The sequence below is a fragment of the Homo sapiens genome, chromosome 22 (genome assembly GCF_000001405.40).
Source record: "Homo sapiens chromosome 22, GRCh38.p14 Primary Assembly".
Taxonomy (NCBI): domain Eukaryota; kingdom Metazoa; phylum Chordata; class Mammalia; order Primates; family Hominidae; genus Homo; species Homo sapiens.
The window spans coordinates 22,155,548-22,176,517 of NC_000022.11; the positions used below are offsets into that span (position 1 = coordinate 22,155,548).

The following is a 20,970-nucleotide window of genomic DNA, read 5'->3' on the forward strand; positions in this document are numbered from 1 at the left end:
GGGTGTCTGTATGCTCTGGGATTTTTTTCTCCTGTCCTGATGACATCTCTTTCCTTTCTCTGGGTTCAGGAGTTACTTCCCAGGTTGTGGTGACACAGGAACATTCACTTTCCACAACTCCTGGAGGGGCAGTCACCTTCACCTATGGCTCCAAAATTGGGGCTGTCATCAGAGCATCTCGACAGCTGGGCCCAACAGAACATCTGGCAATGTCCCCAGGGCAATGGTGGGCACAAGCAGTCAGGTCCTGGGACCCCTGCACAATCCCCTGGTTCTCTTCATGAAGAAAAAGCCACTCTGGTTATAATGAGGACTAGACCAAGAATGAGGCCCAGTGTTACATGCTCGGTGTGGTGATCTGAAATATCACCACAGGGACAAATACAAAAATACAAGTGGGAAACTACACTCAAACCCTTGGATCAAGCCTCAGTCCTATGCTTCTGAAGCAAATTTCTTGTTTTTGGAGTCTGGTTTTCAACCACTGTAGACTCAGATCATTTATTCTTCAGGCCCCCAATGGGATCATCACAAGCACTTTTTCTATCAATCATGGCAGTCACTTGAGATCAAAGGTGAATTTCTTCTTCCTCAAGTTATAAGCAACACTTTGGCATATTTGGTGAACTTCAAAGAAAATGGCTAAGATAGAGGATGAGAGACATAAGAGGCTTCAGGAATATTTCAGCAGATGCAAAGCAGACTACAGGGTAACTCATTTCCCATATGATTTGATTGATTGCAAAATGTGAAATTAAATGCATACAAAGGGGAATGTGTGTCATTTTTCCTCTTAATGACAAAGTAAAAAAAAAGCAATAAAACAAAAACAAGCACTATTTCATGTGTCTTGATAAACTTGTAGAAAGTCTTATAATATCCACAATATCTAGGATACAGTAAAATAACTTTCCATATGAAGAACCAGAAGAACACAACTTAAATGAGAAAAGACAATTGATAGACACCAATACTGAAATAATTTAGGTGCTGATGTTATGTAACTGAGATTAATTAAGGAGTAATTATACAATTCCTTCAGTGAGCAATTTTAGACATTATTTTTTGAAGTTTTAGGTTCAGGGGTTCATGTGCAGGTATGTTACGTAGGTAAACTTGTGTCAGAGGGGACATTCTTGAAACAAGTGGAAAAGAAGCAAATCCCGAAAAGAAAAATAAGTCATAGAAACAAACCAAATTAAAATTAGAAAACAGAAAAATGCAATAAATTAAAAAGAACAGTCTGGAGGGACTCTGGAACAGGTAACAGTGAAATTAAAGTTCAGGCATTAGAGGAATTATTTACCGTTAAGTAGGGAAGAAAGTACAAACAATAGCCATCTAAGCCCAGCAGAGGGAGCTGTGGATCTTCTCAGAGGTGAGCAAGGCCGGAAATGAACTCCCGGGGCTCTCATTTATGGCTCCTGGGTCCATACTCACTGGCCCGAATTGGGGTTTAGAGCAGGTGCTTTCTCCCAAAGGGCAAACTCAGAGTTCCCAGCAGCCCATCCTCCCTGACAGAGCGGCTGCTGCCTGGCTGAGCACTCAGAACTTAGGGAGCCGGTGGTTTTGGTAGAGGCCCCATGTTTGCATAATGTCCTAACCAAACACACATCTACCCGGGGAGGTGACGAGGAGTTAGAGGAACTGTCCCAGGGTCCAGAAGTAGCCGGGGGTTCTGGGGATCCTTGGAAAGTCCACACCATAGCTTGGATGTCTATCCTCCCCTCTCTCCCTCCTCACTGCCCAGGTTCATGTAGATTTCAAAGACAGGACTTTGGAGGGATCTGTCTGCTGTGATTCCTCACACATAACATGTATCTGTTTTAGTTTCTTGGTTCAGTTCTCAGGCTGTGGTGACTCAGGAGCCCTCACTGACTGTGTCCTAAAGAGAGAGACTTATTCTCATGTGTGGCTTCAGCACCACAGCACTGAATTCAGCAGAAGCCTGGTCAAGTCCTCAGGACATTGATGTGTAACACAGATAACAAACACCCCTGGATGCCCACTTGATTCTCTGGCTCCCTCCTGGGGGAAAGCTGCCCTGACCCCTCAAGGGGCCCAGCCTGAGGATGAGGCTGAGTATACTGTGGGCTACACCACAGTGGTCCTTAGCACAGTGAGAGACCCAGATGGGGAAGCAGGACATGAACGAGCTTTTGGCTGATCCGGGGTACAAACATGAACGTAGGATATCAGGATCACGTGGCCAGACACCTGAGCTCTCAAGGACACCTAAATTTTAACTATCCGTAGAGAGAAAGGTGGGTGGAGGGGTGTAAATTGATTCCTGTATCTGTTTGAATTTTAAAGTGGAAAATATTTGTGAATCATTTGGGAGATGCAGATTCCCAAAAAGAAGAATTTATGTTTATATTCCAAACAGAACAGTAATAGTGAGATCAACTCTAAAGACTAAGGTCAAACACACTTCATCCAGAAAGATGGATCTCAAAAGATTTTGTTGTTGTTTTGCCTATTAAAAGCTAAGAGAGGAAATTATATTAATAAAGTTTATTTCATGTTCTATGTTAATAGTGTGTATTTCATAGCTTTTTAAGCATTAAAAATTATAAAAGTGTTAAGAGGGATTCTCTTCTCTAATGTTATATAAGAAAGTATCCACCTAGGAAAATATTTTGAAGGTCTAACCCCCAGTACTTCTAAATGTGACCTTATTTTTAAAATAGTGTTATTGCTTATGTAATTCTTAGGATGAAGCCATCCTAGAGCGAGGTGGCCTCTTGATCCAATGTGCCTGGTGTCCTTATAAGATGATGGTAGTAAGGAGATTGGAAGACACAGAGAGAATGCCGTGTGACGACGAAGGCAGAGATTGAATTTACACAGCTGCAAGATAAGGAGCACTAAAGATTGCTGGCAAACCACCAGCAGCCAGAAAGAGGGAAGGAAGGATCTCCCCTCAGGTATATATGGAAACATTGCCCTTTCTATGAATTTTGGGAGGCTAGCCTCCAGAACTGTGAGACAATACATTTGTGTTATCTTAACCAAACTTGTGTTTAATACATTCTGACAGCAGTTCTAGGAAACCAATACACCAGACAATAAATTACACAATACTTCTGAAATTGATTGTACTTCTTTCATTTTGGCAACCAGTTTTTCCATGAATATGATTATATCTGTGCTCATATTTCTAACTTTATAAATATGCTTGTAATTTAAGGTTAAGATAAGAAATCCTTGTGTCTTAAAAATCCCTAAATATATGAGAACTGAATAATAATATTAACATTATGAGATCTAATGGAAAATTGTAGCTTTTACATAATTCCACTTGTTCACTAGTATCAAGATGTGAAGGTGGGAAGATCACCTTGTTATTAACAAAACACTCCTGGTCATCTCTGTGGATTTGAGAGTGCAGGGGGAGACACCTACATATTGTTTGGGAAGTCACAAATGCAGCATGCCCAGAGCATCATGTACAACAGTGTGAGTTTGCTGGACATGTGGGCAGGACGCAGAACAGACTGGGGCATGAGGAACCACCTATCACCAAACCCACCAGCGCCTTCCTCCCTGGATCAGCCCAGAGCTGCTCAGACTTGAATGTGCACATGGATCATGTGGGATCCTGGATAATGTGGATTCTGATCAGTGGGTCTGGACTGTGGACTGAAATTCTGCGTTTCTAGAAGGCCCCTTCTTCCAAAGATCCACATACATGTTTTAATATTACCATATTCATAAGAATGGTGGGAAATAAGGGAAGCCACTTTCAGACAGAAACCAAATAGAAATTTATCTGAGAGGGAGCTAAAGGATTATGATCAAAGAGAAATCCCCAATTCCAGGCAGGGAGCTGATCACAGAGGGCAGATGGGAAGTTGGGAGAGGTTCTATTTTTTTTTTTTTAAGAAATAGAAATGAATGCAAACACAACTCAAACCTCCTCTTGATCCAACATCCCTGCTGGCTCCTGCCCAATTTCTGCACTGGCTTCTTCTCCAGTCTTTTCCCAAGCATGGACCCTCCTCACCCTCTCTGCTTCCCCATCTCAAACTCACAACTTCCCTTCTCAGTTCTCCTGTTTCTCTCCCTTTCATTCCACTTCCTTCTTCTCTGTGACCTCCTTAGACAATCACCAAAATATTTCTAGAAGAAAAGCCATGGGTATTTTTCATCTTTTCTTGAAAGTTGTCACTCACATTCCCTCTTCGTTCTTCAGCCTCTCTTACCCCTTACTACAAAAGATGCCTGAGGCCACTGTTTCTCTTTTCCATCCCCTCAAATAGCTTCTCCTTCCAACCCGTTTCTCTCCTCAGTTACTAGAGCATTCAGTGAAGCACTCAGTCAGGTTAAAGGATCCTCCCAAATGCTCACCCTGCTCTCTATGTGTGATCTCCTGAAGAATCAAGTAGGGAGAGAAACATGGCTTCATGAGTTTGTGGGGAAGTGGGTGCATGGCTGAACTGTCCTTGTTCTCAGCAAATGTACTTTATTTCATGCACAGTTTGTATATGAGACAACCTTCTCCTGCGGACTCCTTATAAAATGGGAAGAATTATGTGTTGTGTTTTCACAGAGGAAGCCCAAATATTCCATGCTCATGGGTAGGAAGAATCAATATCATGAAAATGGCCATACTGCCCAAGGTAATTTATAGATTCAATGCCATCCCCATCAAGCTACCAATGACTTTCTTCACAGAATTGGAAAAAACTATTTTAAAGTTCATATGGAACCAAAAAAGAGCCCGCATCGCCAAGTCAATCCTAAGCCAAAAGAACAAAGCTGGAGGCATCACACTACCTGACTTCAAACTATACTACAAGGCTACAGTAACCAAAACAGTATGGTACTGGTACCAAAACAGAGATATAGATCAATGGAACAGAACAGAGCCCTCAGAAATAACGCCGCATATCTACAACTATCTGATCTTTGACAAACCTGAGAAAAACAAGCAATGGGGAAAGGATTCCCTATTTAATAAATGGTGCTGGGAAAACTGGCTAGCCATATGTAGAAAGCTGAAACTGGATCCCTTCCTTACACCTTATACAAAAATCAATTCAAGATGGATTAAAGACTTAAATGTTAGACCTAAAACCATAAAAACCCTAAGAAGAAAACCTAGGCATTACCATTCAGGACATAGGCATGGGCAAGGACTTCACGTCTAAAACACCAAAAGCAATGGCAACAAAAGCCAAAATTGACAAATGGGATCTGATTAAACTAAAGAGCTTCTGCACAGCAAAAGAAACTACCATCAGAGTGAACAGGCAACCTACAAAATGGGAGAAAATTTTCACAACCTACTCATCTGACAAAGGGGCTAATATCCAGAATCTACAATGAACTCAAACAAATTTACAAGAAAAAAACAAAAAACCCCATCAAAAAGTGGGCGAAGGACATGAACAGACACTTCTCAGAAGAAGGCATTTATGCAGCCAAAAAACATACGAAAAAATGCTCACCATCACTGGCCATCAGAGAAATGCAAATCAAAACCACAATGAGATACCATCTCACACCAGTTAGAATGGCAATCACTAAAAAGTCAGGAAACAACAGGTGCTGGAGAGGATGTGGAGAAATAGGAACACTTTTACACTGTTGGTGGGACTGTAAACTAGTTCAACCATTGTGGAAGTCAGTGTGGCGATTCTTCAGGGAGCTAGAACTAGAAATACCATTTGACCCAGCCATTCCATTACTGGGTATATACCCAAAGGACTATAAATCATGCTGCTATAAAGACACATGCACACGTATGTTTATTGTGGCACTATTCACAATAGCAAAGACTTGGAACCAACCCAAATGTCCAACAATGATAGACTGGATTAAGAAAACGTGGCACATATACACCATGGAATACTATGCAGCCATAAAAAAGGATGAGTTCATGTCCTTTGTAGGGACATGGATGAAATTGGAAATTATCATTCTCAGTAAACTATTGCAAGAACAAAAAACCAAACACCGCATATTCTCACTCATAGGTGGGAATTGAACAATGAGAAAACATGGACACAGGAAGGGGAACATCACACTCTGGGGACTGTTGTGTGGTGGGGGGAGGGGGGAGGGATAGCATTGGGAGATATACCTAATGCTAGATGATGAGTTAGCGGGTGCAGCACACTAGCATGGCACATGTATACATATGTAACTAACCTGCACATTGTGCACATGTACCCTAAAACTTAAAGTATAATAATAATTAAAAAAAAAAAAAGAGAGTTAAAGGCTGAGATGAGGTAGGAGGCTGCCCTGAGGAAGGGTCTCATCCTCTGGCATCTGGTCACAGACACGATGGGCCTGGGCCTGGGCTGCAGAGAGCACAATGGGGCTGCTGGTGGGGGCTCTGTGCGGCTCTCAGCTGGGAAATAAAGTCCATGAACTTTGTTTTGCCTCACGGCTCACTGGGGCCAGCAGCTGGGTCCTCTCTGGGTGCTTGGGGAGCTTCAGGCCAAGCTCAGCCCAGGCTGACTCCTCCTAGTAGTGTCACCCAGCCACAGAGGCTGTACACAGGCCCAGGGAGAGTTAGGTTAAGCAGGGGAAGAGGAGCACATTTGCATGAAGGGCCCCTCCCTCTCCTTTGAGGCTAGAGGGTGGATAAGAGAGACCTGCAGCGTGGCTGCCTCAGCAGAGCTCTGGGGAGTCTGCACCATGGCCTGGACCCCACTCCTCCTCCTCTTCCCTCTCCTCCTCCACTGCACAGGTCAGGAGGACCCTCAGCATCCTCATGCCCCAGCTCACTGACACCATCTCCCAAACTCATACCAGAAATGTTGTTTGCTCTTGTCCTTCCTTCAGGCCATAATGAGCGTCTCTGTTTTCAGGGTCTCTCTCCCAGCCTGTGCTGACTCAATCATCCTCTGCCTCTGCTTCCCTGGGATCCTCGGTCAAGCTCACCTGCACTCTGAGCAGTGGGCACAGTAGCTACATCATCGCATGGCATCAGCAGCAGCCAGGGAAGGCCCCTCGGTACTTGATGAAGCTTGAAGGTAGTGGAAGCTACAACAAGGGGAGCGGAGTTCCTGATCGCTTCTCAGGCTCCAGCTCTGGGGCTGACCGCTACCTCACCATCTCCAACCTCCAGTTTGAGGATGAGGCTGATTATTACTGTGAGACCTGGGACAGTAACACTCACACAGTGATACAGGCAGATGAGGAAGTGGGACAAAATCCTCAACCTGCTGAGGCTATTGTTCAGTGACAATTTTTAATTTTAAAACATTTTCTGTATGTAAAAAATCTATCTGGATGCATCCTCTGATTTAGAACAATTTTACTCACAATTTCCCATTTAATGTTTCAGAAGTCTCAGAAGAAATTAAAACATAAACAAGAACATAAGCCTCCTGATGACACTGAGATGTCTGCTTATCCTTATGGGCTGATACCAAAGTCTGTGAAGCTCACCTTTTCTCTTGAAAGAAAAAAAGAATGAGCCTTCCCTTGAGCAAATCTTGCTCAGAGCCCAAACTTCAAGCCCACAAATGGACAGTCCCCTGCAGCATGGGCTCTTGTTCTTCAAGGGGTCAATGAGGAGACCTCCCTTTCCCACCCCAGGTGTCTGTAGTCAGGGCTGCCTGATGTTCCCTGCATCCTGGGACTAGGCACTCAGGTGTGTAATACCCCAGAGGACAGGCCTGGGAGTAATTCCAAACACAGAGCTGGCCTGATTCACTTTCAGGTTCCTTTATTTTAAGTTAAAATGTCAGGATAGAAAGAAGTTGGGTATGGGGTTATTCATGAAACTGAGGCCAGAAGATGTCTTTGTGGGCTGTGAGAGGGTGACATGGTGGCTCCACCATTGCTAGGGGAATGTTGAGTGAGCTCCTAAGAAGTTTGGGGAAATCGGTCTTGTGAGTGTGGCTTCCCTTCAGCTCATTCCACTCAGAAACATGAGGACACCCATGGGTGGATTTTTCTGAACTCACAAACACTGACTTGTGTCCTCTTTTTTCTTATCCCATTGGAGATATTCAGTAATCTACTCTGTGAGATGGGGTCTACAGGAGATCATGGAGAAGAAACTCTTCAACCTGTGCAAGTGAAACTTCCTTGTGTGAAGCTCTTGATGTGTCCAGATTCCAAGGTCACCTTCTCCTGCACAGGGGTCAGCAGAAACATTGAATATTACCATGGAAACTGGCCCAATGGCTCCAGAGAAATCCTGAATTTGTGACTGAGAACTGCAGTAATCAACCTTCAGGGATCTCAGCCTGATTCTCCTTTTTCAACTTGACTTTCCTTGACTGTGCAGCCCGAGGGTCAGGATGACTATCACTGTCAGAGCTGAATACAACCCGATGCTGCCATGAGCTCCCATTCCATGGGGAAGTGACATAAACATCTGTCCTCCATTTCCCCCATCAAATCCGTCACTGCCCTGTCCCTGCCTGTGACCGACACCTGCTCAGGTTGTGGATTCTGCTGTCACTTGTGATTCCAGCAAGTCTGATGCTTTTAACTTGGTGCATCATTATTAGGGAAGCCACTCCCTCTAAATCCTCAGAAGATGCCCCCAAGGAGTTCCCGGATCCCAAGGTGCAGGATCAACCTCCCAGTAAGGAAGGCTCTCTGGGCCCCATCACTGTTCATCTGTTCTACTTTAATCCTAAGAACCTTGAGCCTTCATTATTTCCCCTTTCTGCTTATTTGGCTGGAACGTTGCTGGAATGCATCTCAGTTCTTTGGGGACTAGAGGGATAAAAAGCACAGCCCATAGAAAGCTTTCACCTGGTTAAGTAGCATTTCCTAAGAGCCACGAGGGCATCTGCTCACTGCTCACTGCTCATCCTTGCATCATAATGGGTTCCTGGACCCTGGGCTCTCCTGGCTCATTGAGTTTACCAATCCCTCCACACTCCACTCATTGCTAGGGCTGGCTAGAGGGAAGGATAGTAATTGTCCAATAGGGAGATAGTTTTAGGGGGGATTACAGAAACTACTCCCCATAATCTTTGTTGATAACATCTTCATCTTGATGTTTGCTCCCCAGGATCTGATTGTGACAGTGGAAGTCTGACACTTGAAGAAATGTAGGTTTACCCTTCTGAAAGGCCTGGCCCTGGCTTGGCCTAGGGCTGGAAGGAAGAGGTGCTGAGCTTTGGGCAACCAAGGCACAGCTGTCAAGGGGCTGAGCTCTCTGCAATGTGGGCCTCCTGCAGAGACATCCCTAGGGAGGCTGAGACCTGACGATGATGCAGAAAAGCAAATTGAAGTGAGCAGGGGATGGTCTGTGGGGGAATCAGATGACAGGTGGGGGGCCAGATGTGATACAGATGGTGCAACATGAAGAAAAGTGTCTTTTGTGATTGTTCTGAGGAGAAGGGCTCAGTGCTAGAGCAGTGATAATGAGGCAGGAGCTGGGTCCTGAAGCCACAGGGGAACCAGGTCTTGGGTCTTTTTCTGAGGGTCCCTAGGGAAGATCACATGACAACCAAGTCCCATGTTATATGTCCAGTGCTCGGTATCCCAGATGCTGTCCCTCCCAGAGCCTCTGGGTGTCCTCGTCCCACTCTTCCCTGTGATCTGTTTTCAGCTCCAGGAGCAGGTTCATACTCTGTGCCAAGAGTGGGGCTTGCATGGCTGAGTGGAGAACAGATTTGCAAGAAGATCCCACCTTGCAGTCTGGCTCTGTGTCCTGGGTGTGGGTGGTAACTGAGGAGATGTAGGCATTTGGGCTCCACTAGAGACCACAGGGAGCAGAGCTCACAGGGGCTCCCCACAACCCGGGCTCCTCCCTTCATCCTCCTCCCATTGCCTTCCTCACTGGGGTTCGGGCCAGGGGAGAACCCAGGGCTGCTTCAAGGGCCCTGCTCTGCAACCATGGTCTTTATCCAAGTCATTGTCTCCAAACTCTGTAAGGGCTTTCTCTGAAACTGTAGGAGCATTTTTTTTCCATATGCCCAAGGCAGGCTTACAGGGTGCTGACCCCACCCCTTAAAAGTGCTAATAGTCTCTCAATGCTCAAGACAGGAGGGAGAATTAGGAATCAGGAGCCTACCCAGAGCTTCCCTCTTTCCTCACTTTCAAAATTGCACTGTGTCTAGACATAGAATTTATGCCTGGGTTGGGAAATATTTATTTACTTATTAATGTATTCATTCATTAATCTCACTTTCTGCAATCTGTGTAAGTGAGGGGCAGAAGGGAAGAGGGGCACAGAGGGAGAGGTTGAACCCAAGGGCAGGTCCTGGCAGTCTGGGCACAGGCTCTGATCAGCCAGGGGGAAGGAAGAGGGAGCAGCTCCTGGTGCCCTGGAGGGAGGGGATGCCCTGTCCCTGCTGGGCCTCCCACTTCGTTGTACCCAGGGAATGCTTTTCAGAGAGGCAGAGCTCTTAGCAGAGTCCCGTAAACCATACAGTGAGTTGGGCAGGTGAGTCCAGGGGTAGGGGCTGTGTGGAGACCTGAGACCAGGTGTGGCCTGGCATGGACACTGCCCAGCTCCATTCTTTTAGGGAGGACAAAGTGGACAGAGGAAGAGACAGGAGACATGGGTGTGTCTGAGCTTTGGGCAGCAGGGGATGCTGTGGCCTAGCCCTGAGGGCTGTGCTGTGGATCCCAGCTGGGAGCCACCCCCTGGTCCTGGCCTGGAGCCCTCTGTCCCCTGCTCACTGGGACTAGCAGCTGTGTCCTCACAGGTCCCTGAGTACCCACAGAATAGCCACACCCAGGTCCACACTCTCCCGGGGTTAGCTTTCCAGGCAGAGGTCAAGAGTCAGAACCCAAGGTGGGGTTTAGACAGCCCAGGAGAGGAGGCTGGTTTGCAAGTCCCTCCTAACCCCCTTCGCCCTGAACTGCTGGAAGGATAGGAGAGACTTGAAGAATCCAGGCCCACCTGAGGGTCCTCAGGACACAGCTGTGTGGCGGGTCCCCACCATGGCCTGGGCTCGTGGCCTCTTTCCTTTTCTCCTTCACTGCTCAGCTGGCTGGGGCCAGGCGTCAGGGCTGAGGATGAAGGGACCAGGATTGCTGTGTGTGTCCCTGTCCACTAACCTGTGTCTCTTACTCTTTGTCTGTCATGATATTCAGGGTCCTGGGCCTGTTCTGTGCTGACTCAGCCAACTGCAGTGTCCAGGTCTGTGGGACAGATGACCCCAGCACCTGCACTGGGAGCAGCACCAATGATGGGAGTATGCACGTGTTTTGGTACCAGCAGTCTCCAGGCTGTGGTGCCTCAGAAACCCTCCTAGTCAACAACACCCTGCCCAGCAGGAGCGGGCCATGCTCTGATTGCCCATCTGGGGTAGTGTCAGTGGGGCTCAGTGAGCAGCTGAGCTTTCACCCCAATATCCTCAACCAGGCGAGCATGGCAGGGCTAGTTTGAGCTGGTTTATCCTCCCATCCACCTATGCCTGATTTTGGCAGGGCCCAGTCAGGAACTGAATTTCAGCCCCCATCCCCAGCAATGAGTTGAATGAAATGGTACAAGGCAGAGCACACCAGCCCTCAGTATTCCCTCCCTGAACCCAGACTCTGGTGGTTATGGGGGCCAGGGAGGACCAGAGCTTTGTCTCCCACCTGGCAATGAGAATACTGGTTGGGGATGGAAGTCAGTGTCGTTGGCACACCTGCTGTCCCCCTCCCTGCCCTGGTGTCAGTGAGTCCTCTTTTTCTCATGAAAGTGTCAGCAGCACTGGAGTACTGAGAGCCAGCGTTCTGCCTTTGCTTTGGCAGTGGGAAGCTGAACCTACAAACCTGTGTCCTTCAACAACTCAACAAGAAGATCACCTGATAAAAGGGAGATTAGTGGTGCCTAGAGGCTCAAAATACAGTATTTAAGGTGTCTAGCATTCAGTTCATGAAATCATTGTCACATCAAGAATTAGGACATTCAGAACCCAAATGAAAGAAGACAGTGACACGCATGGACACTGAAGCAAACTCAGATGCTAAAATCATATGACGGATTTTTAAAGCAACAACCACAAAATCCCTTCAATGAATAATTAAAAACACTCTTGAAACAAATGGAAAAGAAGAAAATCTCAGAAAAGAGAAGTTATAAAATCAAACCAACTGGAAATTAAAGAACCTAATAAACTAGAGCACATTTAAAAAGAAAGTTAAGGCAGGACTCAAGAACTGGTTACATTTGAGATTCAGTCACTGGGTGAGGTGTTCCACACGACATAAAAATACAGTAAAAATAAGTAGGTAAACACATGAAAATCAATGATTCTGGTTTGACTTGGGAAACATTAAAGTGGAAAATATAAAGAATAAAATAGCATTTATTTATTGAAAGAAAGAACTACCTTTAGCTTTTTATCGTTTCCCCATTAATACTCTCTTGAAGATGTTCCCAGGGGACACTGTGAGTCTTCTCAGAGGTGAGAAAAGCCTGAAATAAACTCCCACGAATCTCATTTAATGGGTCCTGGGGCCCATGCTCACTGGTCTGAGTTAGAGGTGATAGCAGGTGCTTCCTCTCAAGTGGTGAAATTAGACCTCACAGCAGCCCAGCCCCCCTGACAGTAGAGCTGCTCTCTCAGCTGAAAACAACAGAAGCAGATGGTGTTGGTGATGGTTTTGGTAAAGTGCTTATTAATGTGTGAACCAAATATATGCCCTTCATCTAGGGAGCTGCATAGGAGATAAAAGAACCATCTCAGGGTCCAGCAGCATCTTAGAGCTCTGCAGATTTTTGGAAAGTTTACATCATGCCCTGGATGCTTCTCCTCCACTTCCCCATCCTGTTCAGTCTTTGCCCAGGTTCATGGAGATTTCAAAGACCAGCCCATGGAGAGAGCCCTCTGTTCTTCCCCATTCCTGTCGTGTCTGTTTCGGTTTCAGTATCCAGTTCTTAGGGTGTGGTGACTGAGGAGCCCTCACTGACTCTTTCCTGAGGAGGGACAGTCACTCTCACCTGTGGCTCCAGCACCAGAGTGGTCACCAACAATTTCTATCCACACTGGATGCAACAGAAGTCTGGCCAACTTTTTGAGACATTGATTTATGATGCAAGCAACAAACATTCCTGAATGACCACCTGATTCTCAGACCTTCCTGGGAGCAAAGCTGCCCTGAGCCTCTGGGGGACCCAATCCATAGGCTAGACTGAGTACTACTCAAGCTACACGACAGTGGGGGTTACTGCAGTGAAAGATCCAGATGGGGAGCCAAGACGTAACCCTGCCTCTGACAGCCTGGGGAGAAAATGATCACGTGATATCAGGATCACATGACCAGAAACCTGAGCTCTCAAGGCGGTCTAAATGTTGCCTATCCTTAAAGAAAAAGGTAAACAGAAGGGTCTACATCAATATTTATTCCTGTTTGTGTCCAAAAGTTGAGGAAATCCATCAATGAGGAGGAACTGTTCCAGAAAAGCGGATTCCTAATATTTTGTAATCCAAAAGGAATAGTATTGCCTACATCAGATCCAAGGAATAAATTTAAATATATTTTTTTGCAGGAGGAATAATCTTCAACGATGTACTTTGCCAGCTAAGAACGAAAGGAAGAAACGTTCTTTGGTATATTAATAACATTTTTTATTAGGTTGTAATTAAGGTGTATTGCACAATTTAAAACATATTAAAATGATTTTTTGTAAGAAATTCTTTTTTCTATATGTTATGTGTTGTATTGGACTCTAAAGAATATATGTTAAAGCCCTACACCCCAGTATTCAAGCACATAAAATCATTTGAAAATCGGATCATTGAAGATATAATAGTTAAGATGAGGTCATTCTGGAGTAGGGAGGTCTCTTTATCAGTGTTCCTGGGTCCTTGTAGGAAGTCAACCATGAGAAGACAGAGAGGCACAGGGAGAAAGTCATGTTAATATGGAGGCATGGAGTGAAGTTACTCAGCTACAATACAAGGAACACCAAAGATTACTAGCAAAGAGGAAGAGCTGCCAGGAAGAATCCCAGGAAGGTTTTCTCTACAGGTGTCAGAGGGAACATGGCCCCGCCCTATGGATTTGGATTTCTAGCTTCCAGAACTGTGAAACAATAAATGCCTTTCATTTTAAATCACATGTGTAGGGTTATTTTTATGGCAGCTCAAGGAAATTATTACACCAAACAGTCATTGTAACTATTTCTGAGTTTGCATGCATTCTCTCATCTTGTTTCTCAGTTTTTTCAACAAATGTGACCATGTCTGTCTTCGTATTTCTTCCTTGTATAACTGGCATTGAAGGTTGACGTAAGTTATTCTCGCTGTCACAAAAATTATATAAACATGTAAATAAGGCTTAATTTTATTTTGTTCGTAGGTACAAATGCAAAACTAATTCCAATTGTTTTGTAAGAAATTTTTGTAAATATTTTTCTCATGTAAATTAGAAGGGTCTCTTGAGTTACTGAAACACTTCTGGCCATTTCTGTGATCTTGTGGTGTCAGGATGAGATGGCTACCATGTTCAATGAAAGCTTCAAATACATTATTATTTTTTCTAGGTTTTTAAAATTTAATACAGTCTAATTAAATAGTAACAGCAGTAACTAAATGCACTGAAAAACAGACAGGTGCCTGCCTATATCTGGAATAAAATTACATCAAACTAGTCTCCATGGTAAAAAAAAAAAAAAAGACAACTGCTGATATCCATGGTTAGACAAGTCAAGGACAACTTGGAATTTCTAAAGCCATTTTTCTAAAAATCAACAGCAACAGGGACACAACTACTTCAAGGGGTAAAATATCTATATCTACATTGTTTTTTATTAACGAAGATTGAGTTGCACCTAAACAGCATGGCATTCTTATCTTTAGCCTTAAAGGAAAAGTGAAAGTATTTTCCATTTGCACCAGTTTGAAATATTTCTGAAATAAGGATTACTTCAAATGAATTATTACATTACTTATACACATAAGAGGGTCTCACATATAGTGAAAAGGCAAACCCAGGATTTTAACGTCAACCTTTTAAAGTTGATTTGATTGCATAAAATGAGAGAGAAATTCTCACACGCATAATCTGTTTAACAAAACTCCTCGGTGAATCAGGATGCAAAATATAAAATGTTCTAAGGAGACTCTGATGAGCAGGCATATAAAATTGAAGTGAAACCCATGTCAGCTTCGTTCCTCCCACTTCTTTGGTGCTTCTATGAGGAGCTCTTTCTCTACTGCAAGAGCCTGGACTTTTGACCTAATGGAGAAGAACCTCAGGAAGGCAAGGCATTCTGATAAAATGCCCCTTCAGCCCTTACTTGAGACCTTTTATTTTTTAATTTAAAGGGATCAACTGGTCTTGTTCAGCCTTAGGAAAGAAAGCATCACTCAGATAAAAGTATTTGGGGAAACTTTAAATACCTGGCTACCTCTTGATATATTTAAATTAGATTGACTTCAGCTGTTCTTAGAAAGCATTCTGCATAGTTATCCAGAGCAGCCACTGAAGTTCTGGTTCTCCTTACATGGCTGCATTCAGAGGTACTCCACATGAGGCATGTTTAGAAAAAGAAGGACCCTTATACTTGGGAGTTTTTGTTCTTCCACGTAACCTGTTAGTACTGTTGGTAAAGGCAGTCCCCAGATGGCACCAGTGCATTTTGTCAATGGTGAGTCTAGACAGTGTTGCAGGGGTGTTGCTGATGAGTAGAACAGTGAGCAGATAAAGGTGAGCAGTGTTGATCTAAAGGCTTTGGGGTCCATCTGCTTATCCTTGCACACCTGAACAAAGTCATCAGATGTGCCACACCATCAAACTGTTGAAGCTTGGACTTGATACATGATAGAGTTCCATGCCAATTGCCCATCTTCATATTCAACTTGCAGATTAGTTGGTCCAGCTGATATTTTAACAGATACTGTTAGTAGATCATCTGAATGTGAACTATCTCTAACCAAGAAATTTCCTTCTGGTGTCTCTTTTAACTTTTCTTTGGCTTCATTAACAATCATCCTTCCCCAGTGCCATCCTGTTTGAGCTCCTACGGGGACTTCACCAGATGCACCACCTCCAGGGAAGGTTCCTGTGCTGACCCTGCTCCTCACTGGCTCTGCATCTATTCCCTGCCATTCCCAGAGGGCTGGAGACACCACAGGGTCATGGAAGTAAGGTCACTGAGGCAAAGACAGATGGCCACCCAAACTGGGTGAGAAAGGAGCTTTCATTTTTCCTGGAAGTCAGTGGGAACCCCCCCAATCAACCCTATGGGTTTCTGAACTGGTGGAAGATGGGGAAGGAATGAAAAGCTGCCTGTTTTTCTCAACAGGTCCAGGTTGAGGGATGACAAAGTTCCTTGCAGATGCATCACCCACAGATCACCAGCAGGAGGATCCTGAGGCTGCGGTCAGTGCCCTGGCACAGGACACATGGGCCATGTCCCATGCAGCACCGGTGGCTCCGAGTGAGAGGGCTTATGCTGCAGGGGAAGCCAAAGATTCCTGAGCCACAGCGGTAAGACATGAGATGACTTAAATATCTGTCCCTCAAGTATATTATTCTTAATATTTAATGCACAAAATAGTGAAAGAAGAGATTAGCTTGCAGTGCAAATTGAACAGATTCAGTATAGCTTGAGGCATGAGAAACAACAGCTCTATTACCATTTACCAAAAATACACCCTGAATGGACAGGGGGTGCCCGTGAGCTGGAGATAGGGTGCCCCAATTGAGGAAATATAAATACTGGTTATCAGTTAAATTTGAATTCATGTAAACAACCATTTAATAGATTTTTATTTTTAGTATAATTATGTCCTATGCAAAGTTACTTATCTTTAATTCTAATGTAACTGGATGTCTTGCATCTTGTGAGATACCATTCCCAGCATTCCCAGCTGGGCTCTGACATCTGAGTCTATGCTATTTACCTCAAAAACAGAGTTCCTGTAACAAAGTTATCCCCAAGTAAGTACTTCGGTTAGAAATAAATATGTCTGGGCTGGGCACAGTGGCTCATGCCTGTAATCCCAGCACTTTGGTAGGCCAAGGCAGGCAGATTACTTGAGGTCAGGAGTTCAAAACCAGCCTGGCCAACATGATGAAACCCTGTCTCTACCAAAAATACAAAAGGTAGCCGGGCGTGGGGGCACCTCTGCAGTCCCAGCTACTGGAGAGGCTGGGGTGGGAGATTCACTTGAACCGGGAGGTGGAGCTTGCAGTGAGCCAAGATTGCACCACTGCACTTCAGCCTGGGTGACAGGGCAAGTCTCTGTCTCAATAAATAAATAAATAAATAAATACATAAATAATTTATAAATAAGTGTGTCATCCCATCCACCTCAAGGCTGTAAAACCTAGCATGCCTTATCCCTCCTCACTTTCTTTTTTTTTTTTTTAATTATACTTTAAGTTCTAGGGTACATATGCACAACATGCAGGTTTGTTACATATGTATACATGTGCCATGTTGGTGTGCTGCACCCATTAACTCATCATTTATATTAGGTGTATCTCCTAATGCTATCCCTCCCCCCTACCCCCATCCCATGACAGGCCCCAGTGTGTGATGTTCCCCTTCCTGTTTCCAAGTGTTCTCATTGTTCAATTCCCACCTATGAGTGAGAATATGCGGTGTTTGGTTTTTTGTCCTTGCGATAGTTTGCTCAGAATGATGGTTTCCAGCTTCATCCATGTCCCTGCAAAGGACATGAACTCATCCTTTTTTATGGCTGCATAGTATTCCGTGGTATATATGTGCCACATTTTCTTAATCCAGTCTATCATTGATGGACATTTGGGTTGGTTCCAAGTCTTTGCTATTGTGAATAGTGCCGCAATAAACACAGGTGTGCATGTGTCTTTATAGCAGCATGATTTATAATCCTTTGGGTATATATCCAATAATGGGATGGCTGGGTCAAATGGTATTTCTAGTTCTAGATCCCTGAGGAATAGCCACATTGTCTTCCACAATGCTTGAACTAGTCTACAGTCCCACCAACAGTGTAAAACTGTTCCCGTTTCTCCACATCCTCTCCAGCACCTGTTGTTTCCTGACTTTTTAATGATTGCCATTCTAACTGGTGTGAGATGGTATCTCATTGTGGTTTTGATTTGCATTTCTCTGACAGCCAGTGATGGTGAGCATTTTTTCACGTGTCTGTTGGCTGCACAAATGTCTTCTTTTGAGAAGTGTCTGTTCATATCCTTCACCCACTTTTTGATGGGGTTGTTTTTTTCTTGTAAATTTGTTTGAGTTCTTTGTAGCTTCTGGATATTAGCCCTTTGTCAGATGAGTAGATTGCAAAAATTTTCTCCCATTCTGTAAGTTAACTGTTGTACTTAGTTGTACTGGGTTTGATCGTAGTTTCTTTTGCTGTGCAGAAGCTCTTTAGTTTAATTAGATCCCAGTTGTCAATTTCGGCTTTTGTTGCCATTGCTTTTGGTGTTTTAGACATGAAGTCCTTGCCCATACCTATGTCCTGAATGGTATTGCCTAGGTTTTCTTCTAGAGTTTTTATGGTTTTAGGTCTAACATTTAAGTCTTTAATCCATCTTGAATTGATTTTTGTATAAGGTGTAAGGAAGGGATCCAGTTTCAGCTTTGTACATATGGCTAGCCAGTTTTCCCAGCACCATTTATTAAATAGGGAATCCTTTCCCCATTTCTTGTTTTTGTCAGGTTTATCAAAGATCAGATGGTTGTAGATGTGCGGTGGTATTTCTGAGGGCTCTGTTCTGTTCCATTGGTCTATATCTCTGTTTTGGTATTAGTACTATGCTGTTTTGGTTACTGTAGCCTTGTAGTGTAGTTTGAAGTCAGGTAGCATGATGCCTCCAGCTTTGTTCTTTTGGCTTAGGATTGTCTTGGCAATGCGGGCTCTTTTTTGGTTCCATCTGAACTTTAAAGTAGTTTTTTCCAATTCTGTGAAGAAAGCCATTGGTAGCTTGATTGGGATGGCATTGAATCTATAAATTACCTTGGGGAGTATGGCCATTTTCACGATATTGGTTCTTCCTATCCATGAGCATGGAATGTTCTTCCATTTGTTTGTGTCCTCTTTTATTTTGTTGAGCAGTGGCTTGTAGTTCTCCTTGAAGAGGTCCTTCACATCCCTTGTAAGTTGGATTCCTAGGTATTTTATTCTCTTTGAAGCAATTGTGAATGGGAGTTCACTCATGATTTGGCTCTCTGTTTGTCTGTTATTGGTGTATGAGAATGCTTGTGATTTTTGCACATTGATTTTGTATCCTGAGACTTTGCTGAAGTTGCTTATCACCTTGAGATTTTAGGCTGAGAGGATGGGGTTTTTTATTTTATTTTATTTTATTTTATTTTATTATTATTATACTTTAAGTTTTAGGGTACATGTGCACAATGTGCAGGTTAGTTACATATGTATACATGTGACATGCTGGTGTGCTGCACCCATTAACTCGTCATTTAGCATTAGGTATATCTCCTAATGCTATCCCTCCCCCCTCCCCCCACCCCACAACAGTCCCCAGAGTGTGATGTTCCCCTTCCTGTGTCCATGTGTTCTCATTGTTCAATTCCCACCTATGAGTGAGAACATGCGGTGTTTGGTTTTTTGTCCTTGCGATATTTTACTGAGAATGATGATTTCCAATTTCATCCGTGTCCCTACAAAGGACGTGAACTCATCATTTTTTATGGCTGCATAGTATTCCATGGTGTATATGTGCCACGTTTTCTTAATGCAGTCTATCATTGTTGGACATTTGGGTTGGTTTCAAGTCTTTGATATTGTGAATAGTGCCACAATAAACATAGGTGTGCATGTGTCTTTATAGAAGCATGATTTATAGTCCTTTGGGTATATACCCAGTAATGGGATGGCTGGGTCAAATGGTATTTCTAGTTCTAGATCCCTGAGGAATCACCACACTGACTTCCACAATGGTTGAACTAGTTTACAGTTGAGACGATGGGGTTTTCTAGATATACAATCATGTCATCTGCAAAGAGGGACAATTTGACTTCCTCTTTTCCTAATTGAATACCCTTTATTTCTTTCTCCTGCCTGATTGCCCTGGCCAGAACTTCGAACACTTTGTTGAGTAGGAGTGGTGAGAGAGGGCATCCCTGTCTTGTGCCAGTTTTGAAAGGGAATGCTTCCAGTTTTTGCCCATTCAGTATGATATTGGCTGTGGGTTTGTCATAAATAGCTCTTATTATTTTGAGATACATCCCATCAGTACCTAATTTATTGAGAGTTTTTAGCATGAAGGGCTGTTGAATTTTGTCAAAGGCCTTTTCTGCGTCTATTGAGATAACCATGTGGTTTTTGTTTTTAGTTCTGTTTATATGCTGGATTATGTTTATTGATTTGCGTATGTTGAACCAGTCTTGCATCCCAGAGATGAAGCCCACTTGATCATGGTGGATAAGTTTTTGATGCCCTCCTCACTTTCAAACAGTACAACAGTTAACATTTCCTAACCATTGGAGATATTAAAGCACAGATCTTTTATATGAGATTAGTTAAAATTTTTATCTTTAATGCACAAGAGTTTGGGAACATTAGGAATTTGTACATATGCTAAATTATATGTAAATGAAATGATACGATGTTTGGAATATGTTTTAAAATTAGTTGAGTGTGTGGAGTGAGGGGTAAAGAGGGATGTAAGATGAATAAGACAATTTTATGTTGATGATGATTTAGTTGGGATGCTGGGTCCAGGACATGCAATGGGCTTTTCTCCATAGATGTCTGCAACTTCAAAAACATCCACAGTGACAAATGTGTAAAAAAAATTCTGTGAACTCTTCTGTGGTGGTGTGTGTATTGAGGTGGATAAGGGACCCCCTATTAAGGGCCTGACTTCTCCCCCTGAAGCACGGAAATAAAGGAGAATCTTGAGTTTCTTCAAGGGAAATTTCAGGTACCTCACTGTCCCTGAGAAGAAAACCTGACTAGCAAAAAGGTTAAAGGAGCTTAAAACAACCAAGGAAGTTAGAGGCATGGGATGTCTGGGTCCCTATAGAAACTAAAAACAACAACTTAACATATGCCCCTGAGTTGTTTTTCAAACACTCAGACCACCTCCAAAAGTCTCGGCTGTCAGTAGGCCTCAGATAATGGGAAACTGAGGACT

The 20,970-nt window shown here is 43.7% G+C and overlaps 1 pseudogene, 1 gene segment (V, D, J or C) and 1 further gene, besides 5 other annotated features; 2 read left to right on the forward strand and 1 right to left on the reverse strand.

Annotated features, from left to right (window-relative positions):
• Positions 1–20,970, forward strand: part of IGL (immunoglobulin lambda locus) — an 896,838-nt gene that overhangs the window by 129,472 nt on the left and 746,396 nt on the right.
• Positions 119–261: a silencer, noted in NCBI's record as "fragment chr22:22510059-22510201 (GRCh37/hg19 assembly coordinates)". NCBI's record gives its function as "represses an EF-1alpha promoter that drives an FKBP-Casp9 reporter gene in an ReSE screen in HepG2 liver carcinoma cells {active_cell/tissue: HepG2}" and the evidence as "EXISTENCE:reporter gene assay evidence [ECO:0000049][PMID:32094911]".
• Positions 1,371–1,530: an enhancer, noted in NCBI's record as "active region_18721". NCBI's record gives its function as "activates an Ori minimal core promoter by ATAC-STARR-seq in GM12878 lymphoblastoid cells {active_cell/tissue: GM12878}" and the evidence as "EXISTENCE:reporter gene assay evidence [ECO:0000049][PMID:35858748]".
• Positions 6,651–7,134, forward strand: IGLV4-60 (immunoglobulin lambda variable 4-60). The segment is given in 2 exon segments: positions 6,651–6,703; positions 6,824–7,134. Coding segments are annotated over 2 exon segments (364 nt in total).
• Positions 8,173–8,360: a silencer, noted in NCBI's record as "fragment chr22:22518113-22518300 (GRCh37/hg19 assembly coordinates)". NCBI's record gives its function as "represses an EF-1alpha promoter that drives an FKBP-Casp9 reporter gene in an ReSE screen in K562 erythroleukemia cells {active_cell/tissue: K562}" and the evidence as "EXISTENCE:reporter gene assay evidence [ECO:0000049][PMID:32094911]".
• Positions 12,281–12,370: an enhancer, noted in NCBI's record as "active region_18722". NCBI's record gives its function as "activates an Ori minimal core promoter by ATAC-STARR-seq in GM12878 lymphoblastoid cells {active_cell/tissue: GM12878}" and the evidence as "EXISTENCE:reporter gene assay evidence [ECO:0000049][PMID:35858748]".
• Positions 12,521–12,580: an enhancer, noted in NCBI's record as "active region_18723". NCBI's record gives its function as "activates an Ori minimal core promoter by ATAC-STARR-seq in GM12878 lymphoblastoid cells {active_cell/tissue: GM12878}" and the evidence as "EXISTENCE:reporter gene assay evidence [ECO:0000049][PMID:35858748]".
• SOCS2P2 (suppressor of cytokine signaling 2 pseudogene 2) lies at positions 14,409–16,055 on the reverse strand (annotated as a pseudogene).